Below are 12,425 nucleotides of genomic sequence, written 5' to 3'. Positions count from 1 at the left end.
AGACAAGCCTGGTCCACCAACAGGACCTATTAAGATTGATGAAATTGATGCTACATCAATTACCATTTCCTGGGAACCACCTGAATTGGACGGTGGTGCTCCACTGAGTGGTTATGTGGTAGAACAACGTGACGCTCATCGTCCAGGATGGCTGCCCGTTTCTGAATCAGTGACTAGGTCCACGTTTAAGTTTACCAGACTCACCGAAGGAAATGAGTATGTGTTCCGTGTGGCTGCAACAAACCGCTTCGGGATTGGCTCTTACTTGCAGTCTGAGGTCATAGAGTGTCGCAGCAGCATCCGTAAGTCCACAGGCCCTTCCACCACTCTCCCCACCTCTGATTCTGAATGTTAACAAAAAAGAATTTGTTTTTAATATGCCCTAATGTAAATAAAAATAGGTCACAAAATTAACCCTGTGGTCTTTCTAAGGTTTCTAAACCTCCTTTTCTCAGGTTTCTAAACCTCCTTTTCTCAGAGGTTTTCAACACACTTAGGCTTGATTTTTTTTTTAATATCTTCACTCTTATGAAAGAGAAGAGGAGGGAGTTAGGAAGAAAGGAATGGAAGGAAGAAAAGAGAGAAGGGAAGGAGGAAGAGAGGAAAGGAAGGAGGACTGGCAATGTTATAGTGAGAAAAAAATACAGAGTGCATGCTTAATAAATGTAGAATTGAAGAAAATGAGGAACAGCAAGGAAAGTACAAAATTAAACCTCAGCATCATGCAATATACCCATGTAACAAACTGCACATGTACCCCTGAAGCTAAAAGTCAAAAATTTTTAATAAAAATAATTAAATAATTAAATGATTTAAATTAAAATTTACAAATAGTACAAAAGTGAAACTATTGGAAAAATAGTCATGTGCCTTATGTACCTTTTAAAATACCAACCAAAACCTAAGGAAAACACAAATATATGAGTCATTGTTTTAACGTATTCATATTGCCATATCGTGTTAACCTCTGTCTTGCTGCAGGTATTCCTGGACCCCCAGAAACATTACAGATATTTGATGTTTCCCGTGATGGCATGACACTTACTTGGTACCCACCAGAGGATGACGGTGGCTCCCAAGTGACTGGATATATTGTGGAGCGCAAAGAAGTGAGAGCAGATCGATGGGTCCGTGTAAATAAAGTACCTGTGACAATGACACGGTACCGCTCCACTGGCCTTACTGAAGGCTTAGAATATGAACACCGTGTCACAGCCATTAATGCAAGAGGGTCTGGGAAACCAAGTCGTCCTTCCAAACCCATCGTTGCCATGGATCCAATTGGTAAGGACATTTTGTATCAGTCAAATTGATTGAGTTACAATTTATATGTGGGAAAATTCACCTTTTTGAAATATATAGTTCTATGACTTTTGAAAAATGTACTGTTTTGTAATCACCACCACAATCAAAATGTGGAATATTTTTATTACCCCGTAAAGTTCCCTTGTGTCCGTTTGTAATCAGTCCCTTCCCCACCCCAGCTGCTAGCGATTTCTGGCAAATAATTTTTAATATTCTTCTCTGGAGTCAATTTCCACTTCTTTAAGATGAGATTCATAATATATGCTTTCTATCACACTTAAAATTTTAAAACAAGTTAATATTTCTGGAAGCACTTTAAAAACTGCTGATAAATGTAAGATAATAATAGTGATTACAAATGAAGCACATTTAAGAGAAAGGAAAGTGAAAAAATGTTAAGTATTTTTAGCTGATAAAATGAATAAAATTTTCTTTTTTCTTTCTTTTGTTTTTTTGTGTTTTTTTGAGACAGAGTCTCACTCTGTCACCCAGGCTGGAGTGCAGTGGCATGATCTTGGCTCACTGCAACCTCTGTCTCCCAGGTTCAAGCAATTCTTCTGCCTCAGCCTCCTGAGTAGCTGGGATTACAGGTGCCTGCCACCACGCATGGCTAATTTTTATGTTTTTAGTAGAGACGCGGTTTCACCATGTTGGCCAGGCTGGTCTTGAACTAACTCCTGACCTCAAGTATCTGCCCACCTTGGCCTCCCAACTTGCTGTGATTACAGGCATGAGCCACCACACCCAGCCATGAATAAAATTTTCACAAGACAAAAAAACAGGCTAATGTTAACAGTCCGTTTCAACAACTCATTGAATTTGTTAGGTGGCACAGCTAATTTTCAACTTTGCAGCAACTTTAACCAGTATATTCTTATTCTTATTCTCAGCTCCTCCAGGAAAGCCACAAAACCCAAGAGTTACTGATACAACAAGGACATCAGTCTCCCTGGCCTGGAGTGTTCCAGAAGATGAAGGAGGATCTAAAGTCACAGGCTACTTGATTGAAATGCAAAAAGTAGATCAACATGAATGGACCAAGTGTAACACCACTCCAACCAAGATTCGAGAGTATACTCTAACACACCTACCTCAGGGTGCAGAATACAGGTTCCGCGTCCTAGCTTGTAATGCTGGTGGACCTGGTGAGCCTGCTGAGGTACCAGGAACAGTCAAAGTCACTGAAATGCTTGGTGAGACATATGATCATTTGCTTTCTGCAATAATTGCCATAGACTTATTTCTTAGTCCCCCTACCCCAAATGCTAAATTGAAACCCTACCTTTTTTTCCAGAATATCCTGATTATGAACTTGATGAAAGATACCAAGAAGGTATCTTTGTAAGGCAAGGTGGCGTCATCAGACTTACCATACCAATCAAAGGAAAACCATTCCCAATATGTAAATGGACCAAGGAAGGCCAGGATATTAGTAAGCGTGCCATGATTGCAACATCTGAAACACACACTGAGCTTGTGATCAAAGAAGCAGACAGGGGTGATTCTGGCACTTATGACCTGGTTCTGGAAAATAAATGTGGCAAGAAGGCTGTCTACATCAAGGTCAGGGTGATAGGAAGTCCCAACAGTCCAGAAGGGCCACTGGAATATGATGACATCCAAGTCCGCTCTGTGAGGGTCAGCTGGAGACCTCCTGCTGATGATGGTGGTGCTGACATCTTAGGCTACATCCTCGAGAGACGAGAAGTGCCTAAAGCCGCCTGGTATACCATTGATTCCAGAGTCCGAGGTACATCTCTGGTGGTAAAAGGCCTCAAAGAGAATGTAGAATACCATTTCCGTGTTTCAGCAGAAAACCAGTTTGGCATAAGCAAACCCTTGAAATCTGAGGAACCAGTCACACCAAAAACACCATTGAGTAAGTGCCCTTTCAACCACAAAATTATAAACATTATTTCAGCACTTTTCTGTTTTTAAATGAAAGTCATTGGCTTATAATACTTGGGACTGTATTCTAATACATGTGTGCTTTCCACTTATATTTACAGATCCTCCAGAACCTCCAAGCAATCCTCCAGAAGTACTCGATGTAACCAAGAGTTCTGTTAGCTTGTCCTGGTCCCGGCCCAAAGATGATGGTGGTTCTAGAGTCACAGGCTACTACATCGAACGCAAAGAGACATCCACTGACAAGTGGGTCAGACACAACAAGACTCAGATCACCACCACAATGTACACTGTCACAGGGCTTGTTCCCGATGCTGAGTATCAGTTCCGCATCATCGCACAGAATGATGTTGGCCTGAGTGAGACCAGCCCTGCTTCTGAACCAGTTGTTTGCAAAGATCCATTTGGTAAGGAATTCAGAAGAAGGGGTTAAATTAAAGAAGCAAGCCATGTTTGGTCCTTTTATTTCACCAGTAAAGCTGACTCCCTTTTCATTATTTTAAAATATTTCAGATAAACCAAGCCAACCAGGAGAACTTGAGATTCTTTCAATATCCAAAGATAGTGTCACTCTACAGTGGGAGAAACCTGAATGTGATGGTGGTAAAGAAATTCTTGGATACTGGGTTGAATATAGACAGTCTGGAGACAGTGCCTGGAAGAAGAGCAATAAGGAACGTATTAAGGACAAGCAATTCACAATAGGAGGTTTGCTGGAAGCTACTGAGTATGAATTCAGGGTTTTTGCTGAGAATGAGACTGGGCTGAGCAGACCTCGCAGAACTGCTATGTCTATAAAGACTAAACTCACATGTAAGTAGCCTTTGGTTCTCTACTTATGATTTACAAACTAAACAAGTTAAGGCTAATTCCCCCTCTATACTAAGTAGAACCCTGGAAAGCTTTATTGGAGAGCAAGTGTTAAGAAAGAAAAGCAAGTACACACACAGGAAATATGACAAGTTCTACAGGAAACCATTCCAAGCACACAACCTCAGCAGATGTTAGATGGAGTGAACTGAGCACTTTCCTTGAGTAATTCCCTCTAATGCAATGGTTTCTTTTTAAAAATATTTCCCAACAAGATTTGAAAGGTCAACAATTGTATGCCACTTCAATGAACCTAAGTAAGGGCAAGAATACTACAGAATTATAGAGAGAATTTACAGTCCCTTAAAAGCCTATACATTATTAATCCCCTTCCAATCATAAAGAGAAAAAAACACTCTACATAAAATGTGACGATGTGCTCATTGAATCCCTATTTACCATATGATCCTAGGAAAATCACTTCAAAGAGTTTTTAAGAATTAGGCTAATATGTAAATCATGGTATGTGTCAGTAAATAAGGTAAATTCATTCCTGATATACAAGGACAAAGGATTACAGATTGAGTATTAACAGTCACTTAATATTATCTTTCATATTGTTCAGCTGGAGAGGCCCCAGGAATACGCAAAGAAATGAAGGATGTTACCACAAAATTGGGTGAAGCTGCTCAACTCTCATGCCAGATTGTTGGAAGGCCTCTTCCTGACATTAAATGGTACAGATTTGGTAAAGAGCTCATACAAAGCCGGAAATACAAAATGTCTTCAGATGGACGCACACACACTCTTACAGTAATGACAGAGGAACAGGAAGATGAAGGTGTTTATACCTGCATAGCCACCAATGAGGTTGGAGAAGTAGAAACCAGTAGTAAGCTTCTCCTGCAAGCAACACCGCAGTTCCATCCTGGTTACCCACTGAAAGAGAAATATTATGGAGCTGTGGGTTCCACACTTCGGCTTCATGTTATGTACATTGGTCGTCCAGTACCTGCCATGACTTGGTTCCATGGTCAGAAACTTTTGCAAAACTCAGAAAACATTACTATTGAAAACACTGAGCACTATACTCATCTTGTCATGAAGAATGTCCAACGTAAGACTCATGCTGGGAAATACAAAGTCCAGCTCAGCAATGTTTTTGGAACAGTTGATGCCATCCTTGATGTGGAAATACAAGGTATTTTATTTTTATTTTCAGTGCTTTTTATTTTTAAAGAAAAAAAAATCTCAAAAACACACTATGAAAACCACCACAATTGTATTTTCCCCCAACAGATAAACCAGACAAACCTACAGGACCAATTGTGATCGAAGCTCTATTGAAGAACTCCGCAGTGATCAGCTGGAAACCACCCGCAGATGACGGAGGCTCCTGGATCACCAACTATGTGGTGGAAAAATGTGAGGCCAAGGAGGGGGCTGAATGGCAATTGGTGTCTTCAGCCATCTCAGTGACAACCTGTAGAATTGTGAACCTCACAGAAAATGCTGGCTATTACTTCCGGGTTTCAGCTCAGAACACTTTCGGCATCAGTGACCCTCTAGAAGTGTCCTCAGTTGTGATCATTAAGAGTCCATTTGGTGAGTACAACTTGATTTCTGTATCTTCCTATGGTAAAGTTCCATCTTTGCATAAAATTCTTTTAAACAGAAAGAAATTTTGAAAGGAAATAGCAAAGATTCAGATAAAGTACAAGTGCCTTTTCTTTCACTTTAATTGAATGTTTGCATATCTAAAAGGAGAAATATATATCCTAACCCCATTGTAAAAATAGAACTTTGGTTTTTGATATGTCTTAGTATAAAGTAACCAATTTCATCTTTCTGGAATAGCTATTTTTTAACAAAATTTTGGACTCATATAACATTCTTTTTTAAAAAAATAAGCTTTAATAAAGCTGCCTGTTTCATCTCATGACTCAAATCTTTTTTTTGTTTAATAGAAAAGCCAGGTGCTCCTGGCAAACCAACTATTACTGCTGTCACAAAAGATTCTTGTGTTGTGGCCTGGAAGCCACCTGCCAGTGATGGAGGTGCAAAGATTAGAAATTACTACCTTGAGAAGCGTGAGAAGAAGCAGAATAAATGGATTTCTGTGACAACAGAAGAAATTCGAGAAACTGTCTTTTCAGTGAAAAACCTTATTGAAGGTCTTGAATACGAGTTTCGTGTGAAATGTGAAAATCTAGGTGGGGAAAGTGAATGGAGTGAAATATCAGAACCCATCACTCCCAAATCTGATGTCCCAATTCAGGCACCACACTTTAAAGAGGAACTGAGAAATCTAAATGTCAGATATCAGAGCAATGCTACCTTGGTCTGCAAAGTGACTGGTCATCCAAAACCTATCGTCAAATGGTACAGACAAGGCAAAGAAATCATTGCAGATGGATTAAAATATAGGATTCAAGAATTTAAGGGTGGCTACCACCAGCTCATCATTGCAAGTGTCACAGATGATGATGCCACAGTTTACCAAGTCAGAGCTACCAACCAAGGGGGATCTGTGTCTGGCACTGCCTCCTTGGAAGTGGAAGGTAAAAATAAATAAATTATCATCAAGTTGAGGCTAAATGAGTTATTAACTTGGGGGTGGAGGCTATTGCACTTAAACACATACTGTTAGATGTTGCTAAATTATATTCTTTTTTTTTTTTTTTCTGATACAGTTCCAGCTAAGATACACTTACCTAAAACTCTTGAAGGCATGGGAGCAGTTCATGCTCTCCGAGGTGAAGTGGTCAGCATCAAGATTCCTTTCAGTGGCAAACCAGATCCTGTGATCACCTGGCAGAAAGGACAAGATCTCATTGACAATAATGGCCACTACCAAGTTATTGTCACAAGATCCTTCACATCACTTGTTTTCCCCAATGGGGTAGAGAGAAAAGATGCTGGTTTCTATGTGGTCTGTGCTAAAAACAGATTTGGAATTGATCAGAAGACAGTTGAACTGGATGTGGCTGATGTTCCTGACCCACCCAGAGGAGTCAAAGTTAGTGATGTCTCACGAGATTCTGTCAACTTAACATGGACTGAGCCAGCCTCTGATGGTGGCAGCAAAATCACCAACTACATTGTTGAAAAATGTGCAACTACTGCAGAAAGATGGCTCCGTGTAGGACAGGCCCGAGAAACACGTTATACCGTGATCAACTTATTTGGAAAAACAAGTTACCAGTTCCGGGTAATAGCTGAAAATAAATTTGGTCTGAGCAAGCCTTCAGAGCCTTCAGAACCAACCATAACCAAAGAAGATAAGACCAGAGCTATGAACTATGATGAAGAGGTAGATGAAACCAGGGAAGTCTCCATGACTAAAGCATCTCACTCTTCAACCAAGGAACTCTATGAGAAATATATGATTGCTGAAGATCTTGGGCGTGGTGAGTTTGGAATTGTCCATCGTTGTGTTGAAACATCCTCAAAGAAGACATACATGGCCAAATTTGTTAAAGTCAAAGGGACTGATCAGGTTTTGGTAAAGAAGGAAATTTCCATTCTGAATATTGCTAGGCATAGAAACATCTTACACCTCCATGAATCATTTGAAAGCATGGAAGAATTAGTTATGATCTTTGAGTTTATATCAGGACTTGACATATTTGAGCGCATTAACACAAGTGCTTTTGAACTTAATGAAAGAGAAATTGTAAGTTATGTTCACCAGGTCTGTGAAGCACTTCAGTTTTTACACAGTCATAATATTGGACACTTTGACATTAGACCAGAAAATATCATTTACCAAACCAGAAGAAGCTCTACCATTAAAATCATAGAATTTGGTCAAGCCCGTCAGCTGAAACCAGGGGACAACTTCAGGCTTCTATTCACTGCCCCAGAATACTATGCACCTGAAGTCCACCAGCATGATGTTGTCAGCACAGCCACAGACATGTGGTCACTTGGAACACTGGTATATGTGCTATTGAGTGGTATCAACCCATTCCTGGCTGAAACTAACCAACAGATCATTGAGAATATCATGAATGCTGAATATACTTTCGATGAGGAAGCATTCAAAGAGATTAGCATTGAAGCCATGGATTTTGTTGACCGGTTGTTAGTGAAAGAGAGGAAATCTCGCATGACAGCATCGGAGGCTCTCCAGCACCCATGGTTGAAGCAGAAGATAGAAAGAGTCAGTACTAAAGTTATCAGAACATTAAAACACCGGCGTTATTACCACACCCTGATCAAGAAAGACCTCAACATGGTTGTGTCAGCAGCCCGGATCTCCTGTGGTGGTGCAATTCGATCTCAGAAGGGAGTGAGTGTTGCTAAAGTTAAAGTGGCATCCATTGAAATTGGCCCAGTTTCTGGGCAGATAATGCATGCAGTTGGTGAAGAAGGAGGACATGTCAAATATGTATGCAAAATTGAAAATTATGATCAGTCTACCCAAGTGACTTGGTACTTTGGCGTCCGACAGCTGGAGAACAGTGAGAAATACGAAATCACCTACGAAGATGGAGTGGCCATCCTCTATGTCAAAGACATTACCAAATTAGATGATGGTACCTACAGATGCAAAGTAGTCAATGACTATGGTGAAGACAGTTCTTATGCAGAGCTATTTGTTAAAGGTGTGAGAGAAGTCTATGACTATTACTGCCGTAGAACCATGAAGAAAATTAAGCGCAGAACAGACACAATGAGACTCCTGGAAAGGCCACCAGAATTTACCCTGCCTCTCTATAATAAGACAGCTTATGTAGGTGAAAATGTCCGGTTTGGAGTAACTATAACTGTCCACCCAGAGCCTCATGTAACATGGTATAAATCAGGTCAGAAAATCAAACCAGGTGACAATGACAAGAAGTACACATTTGAGTCAGACAAGGGTCTTTACCAATTAACAATCAACAGTGTCACTACAGATGATGACGCTGAATATACTGTTGTGGCAAGGAACAAATATGGTGAAGACAGCTGTAAAGCAAAGCTGACAGTAACCCTACACCCACCTCCAACAGATAGTACCTTAAGACCCATGTTCAAAAGGTTACTGGCAAATGCAGAATGCCAAGAAGGCCAAAGTGTCTGCTTTGAGATCAGAGTGTCTGGCATCCCCCCACCAACATTAAAATGGGAGAAAGATGGTCAGCCACTGTCCCTCGGGCCTAACATTGAAATTATCCATGAAGGCTTGGATTATTATGCTCTGCACATCAGGGACACTTTGCCTGAAGACACGGGTTATTATAGAGTCACAGCCACTAACACAGCTGGGTCCACCAGCTGCCAGGCTCACCTACAAGTGGAACGCCTGAGGTACAAGAAACAGGAATTCAAGAGTAAGGAGGAGCATGAGCGACACGTACAAAAACAAATTGACAAAACCCTCAGAATGGCTGAAATTCTTTCTGGAACTGAAAGTGTACCACTGACACAGGTAGCTAAAGAGGCTCTGAGAGAAGCTGCTGTCCTTTATAAACCGGCTGTAAGCACCAAGACTGTAAAAGGGGAATTCAGACTTGAGATAGAAGAAAAGAAGGAGGAGAGAAAACTCCGGATGCCTTATGATGTACCAGAGCCACGCAAGTATAAGCAGACTACCATAGAAGAAGACCAACGCATCAAGCAGTTCGTGCCCATGTCTGACATGAAGTGGTATAAAAAGATACGTGATCAGTATGAAATGCCTGGGAAACTTGACAGAGTTGTACAGAAACGACCCAAGCGCATCCGCCTTTCAAGATGGGAACAGTTCTATGTGATGCCTCTTCCACGCATTACAGATCAATACAGACCTAAATGGCGTATTCCTAAACTGTCCCAAGATGATCTTGAGATAGTGAGACCAGCCCGCCGGCGTACACCTTCTCCTGATTATGACTTTTACTACCGACCTAGAAGACGTTCTCTTGGGGACATCTCTGATGAAGAATTACTCCTCCCCATTGATGACTACTTAGCAATGAAAAGAACAGAGGAAGAGAGGCTGCGTCTTGAAGAAGAGCTTGAGTTAGGTTTTTCAGCTTCACCCCCAAGTCGAAGCCCTCCACACTTTGAGCTTTCTAGCCTACGTTACTCTTCACCACAAGCTCATGTCAAGGTGGAGGAAACAAGAAAAGACTTCAGGTATTCAACCTATCACATCCCAACGAAGGCTGAAGCTAGTACAAGTTATGCAGAACTGAGGGAACGGCATGCCCAGGCTGCGTACAGACAGCCAAAGCAACGGCAAAGAATCATGGCTGAGAGGGAGGATGAAGAGTTGCTTCGCCCAGTTACGACCACCCAGCATCTCTCAGAATACAAAAGCGAACTTGACTTCATGTCAAAGGAGGAAAAGTCTAGAAAGAAATCAAGGCGACAAAGAGAAGTGACAGAAATAACAGAAATTGAGGAAGAATACGAAATCTCAAAACATGCTCAAAGAGAATCATCCTCATCTGCGTCTAGACTACTGAGACGACGGCGCTCCCTGTCTCCAACTTATATTGAGTTAATGAGGCCAGTGTCTGAGCTGATCCGGTCACGTCCACAACCGGCTGAGGAATACGAAGATGACACAGAAAGAAGGTCACCTACTCCAGAGAGAACTCGCCCACGATCCCCCAGCCCTGTGTCTAGTGAGAGATCACTCTCGAGATTTGAGAGGTCTGCAAGATTTGATATCTTTTCCAGGTATGAGTCCATGAAAGCTGCTTTAAAAACTCAGAAGACATCAGAAAGGAAGTATGAAGTTTTGAGTCAGCAGCCTTTCACACTGGACCATGCCCCTCGAATCACACTGAGAATGCGCTCGCACAGGGTACCATGTGGCCAAAATACACGTTTTATTTTAAATGTTCAGTCTAAGCCAACTGCCGAGGTTAAATGGTACCACAATGGTGTGGAACTCCAAGAAAGCAGTAAGATTCATTACACCAACACGAGTGGAGTCCTCACCCTGGAAATTCTGGACTGTCATACTGATGACAGTGGAACCTACCGTGCTGTGTGCACCAACTACAAGGGCGAAGCTTCTGACTATGCAACGTTGGACGTGACAGGAGGGGATTATACCACCTATGCTTCCCAACGCAGAGATGAAGAGGTCCCCAGATCTGTTTTCCCTGAGCTGACAAGAACAGAGGCGTATGCTGTTTCATCATTTAAGAAAACATCTGAGATGGAAGCTTCGTCTTCTGTCAGGGAAGTGAAATCACAGATGACGGAGACAAGGGAAAGTCTCTCCTCATATGAACACTCTGCATCTGCAGAAATGAAAAGTGCTGCATTAGAAGAAAAGTCACTGGAAGAAAAATCCACAACCAGAAAGATCAAGACGACTTTGGCAGCAAGAATTCTAACAAAGCCACGGTCCATGACCGTCTACGAGGGCGAGTCTGCAAGGTTTTCTTGTGACACCGATGGTGAGCCGGTACCAACTGTGACCTGGCTGCGTAAAGGACAAGTGCTAAGTACTTCTGCCCGCCACCAAGTGACCACCACAAAGTACAAATCAACCTTTGAGATCTCTTCAGTCCAGGCTTCCGATGAGGGCAATTACAGCGTGGTGGTAGAAAACAGTGAAGGGAAACAAGAAGCAGAGTTCACTCTGACTATTCAAAAGGCCAGGGTAACTGAAAAGGCTGTGACATCACCACCAAGAGTCAAATCCCCAGAGCCTCGGGTGAAATCCCCAGAAGCAGTTAAGTCTCCAAAACGAGTGAAATCTCCAGAACCTTCTCACCCGAAAGCCGTATCACCCACAGAGACAAAACCAACACCAACAGAGAAAGTTCAGCACCTCCCAGTCTCTGCCCCACCAAAGATTACTCAGTTCCTGAAAGCAGAAGCTTCTAAAGAGATTGCAAAACTGACCTGTGTGGTTGAAAGCAGTGTATTAAGGGCAAAAGAGGTCACCTGGTATAAAGATGGCAAGAAACTGAAGGAAAATGGGCATTTCCAGTTTCATTATTCAGCAGATGGTACCTATGAGCTCAAAATCAATAACCTCACTGAATCTGATCAAGGAGAATATGTTTGTGAGATTTCTGGTGAAGGTGGAACGTCTAAAACCAACTTACAATTTATGGGGCAAGCCTTTAAGAGTATCCATGAGAAGGTATCAAAAATATCAGAAACTAAGAAATCAGATCAGAAAACCACTGAGTCAACAGTAACCAGAAAAACTGAACCAAAAGCTCCTGAACCAATTTCCTCAAAACCAGTAATTGTTACTGGGTTGCAGGATACAACTGTTTCTTCAGACAGTGTTGCTAAATTTGCAGTTAAGGCTACTGGAGAACCCCGGCCAACTGCCATCTGGACAAAAGATGGAAAGGTAACCAGTTCTTAAATGTCTCTTTCTTTTATCTTCTAAAATATTTTATCTTCTAAATTCAGCTTCCCAAAAAAAGCTTAAAATGAAATCACTTTTTAAA

At 41.6% G+C, this 12,425-nt stretch overlaps 1 protein-coding gene and 1 long non-coding RNA gene across 23 annotated transcripts in view, besides 5 other annotated features; one reads left to right on the top strand and one right to left on the bottom strand.

Annotated features, from left to right (window-relative positions):
• The window catches only part of TTN-AS1 (TTN antisense RNA 1), a 97,391-nt gene that overhangs the window by 77,652 nt on the left and 7,314 nt on the right, over positions 1–12,425 (bottom strand). Inside the window, exons 3-7 of one of the 2 annotated variants that reach the window (NR_038272.1) lie at positions 6,738–6,834; positions 4,875–5,205; positions 2,676–3,868; positions 2,397–2,459; positions 205–344 (exon numbers count right to left, since the gene is read on the bottom strand). The exons of the other annotated variant lie outside the window; for it this stretch is intronic. This is a non-coding gene — a long non-coding RNA (TTN antisense RNA 1). The remainder of the gene's footprint in view (positions 1–204; positions 345–2,396; positions 2,460–2,675; positions 3,869–4,874; positions 5,206–6,737; positions 6,835–12,425) is intronic. 2 annotated transcript variants of the gene reach the window in all.
• Positions 1–12,425, top strand: part of TTN (titin) — a 281,435-nt gene that overhangs the window by 264,858 nt on the left and 4,152 nt on the right. For all 21 annotated transcript variants that reach the window (NM_003319.4, NM_133437.4, NM_133432.3 and 18 more), the window contains 10 exons: positions 3–302; positions 982–1,284; positions 2,196–2,498; positions 2,600–3,184; positions 3,315–3,620; positions 3,727–4,026; positions 4,649–5,224; positions 5,323–5,628; positions 5,991–6,584; positions 6,717–12,325. In NM_003319.4, the coding sequence (NP_003310.4) occupies positions 3–302; positions 982–1,284; positions 2,196–2,498; positions 2,600–3,184; positions 3,315–3,620; positions 3,727–4,026; positions 4,649–5,224; positions 5,323–5,628; positions 5,991–6,584; positions 6,717–12,325 (9,182 nt within the window). The remainder of the gene's footprint in view (positions 1–2; positions 303–981; positions 1,285–2,195; positions 2,499–2,599; positions 3,185–3,314; positions 3,621–3,726; positions 4,027–4,648; positions 5,225–5,322; positions 5,629–5,990; positions 6,585–6,716; positions 12,326–12,425) is intronic.
• Positions 4,990–6,189: an enhancer, noted in NCBI's record as "BRD4-independent group 4 enhancer chr2:179401104-179402303 (GRCh37/hg19 assembly coordinates)". NCBI's record gives its function as "activates an origin of replication core promoter dependent on BRD2, P300/CBP, MED14 and CDK7 cofactors, and independent of BRD4, by STARR-seq in HCT116 cells {active_cell/tissue: HCT116}" and the evidence as "EXISTENCE:reporter gene assay evidence [ECO:0000049][PMID:35650434]".
• Positions 11,082–11,131: an enhancer, noted in NCBI's record as "active region_16810". NCBI's record gives its function as "activates an Ori minimal core promoter by ATAC-STARR-seq in GM12878 lymphoblastoid cells {active_cell/tissue: GM12878}" and the evidence as "EXISTENCE:reporter gene assay evidence [ECO:0000049][PMID:35858748]".
• Positions 11,442–11,521: an enhancer, noted in NCBI's record as "active region_16809". NCBI's record gives its function as "activates an Ori minimal core promoter by ATAC-STARR-seq in GM12878 lymphoblastoid cells {active_cell/tissue: GM12878}" and the evidence as "EXISTENCE:reporter gene assay evidence [ECO:0000049][PMID:35858748]".
• Positions 11,532–11,921: an enhancer, noted in NCBI's record as "active region_16808". NCBI's record gives its function as "activates an Ori minimal core promoter by ATAC-STARR-seq in GM12878 lymphoblastoid cells {active_cell/tissue: GM12878}" and the evidence as "EXISTENCE:reporter gene assay evidence [ECO:0000049][PMID:35858748]".
• Positions 11,952–12,141: an enhancer, noted in NCBI's record as "active region_16807". NCBI's record gives its function as "activates an Ori minimal core promoter by ATAC-STARR-seq in GM12878 lymphoblastoid cells {active_cell/tissue: GM12878}" and the evidence as "EXISTENCE:reporter gene assay evidence [ECO:0000049][PMID:35858748]".

Source organism: Homo sapiens, chromosome 2 (assembly GCF_000001405.40).
Source record: "Homo sapiens chromosome 2, GRCh38.p14 Primary Assembly".
In the NCBI taxonomy this organism is placed as follows: domain Eukaryota; kingdom Metazoa; phylum Chordata; class Mammalia; order Primates; family Hominidae; genus Homo; species Homo sapiens.
Note: the sequence above shows the minus strand (reverse complement) of the source record. Positions and strands in the feature narration are given on the sequence as shown.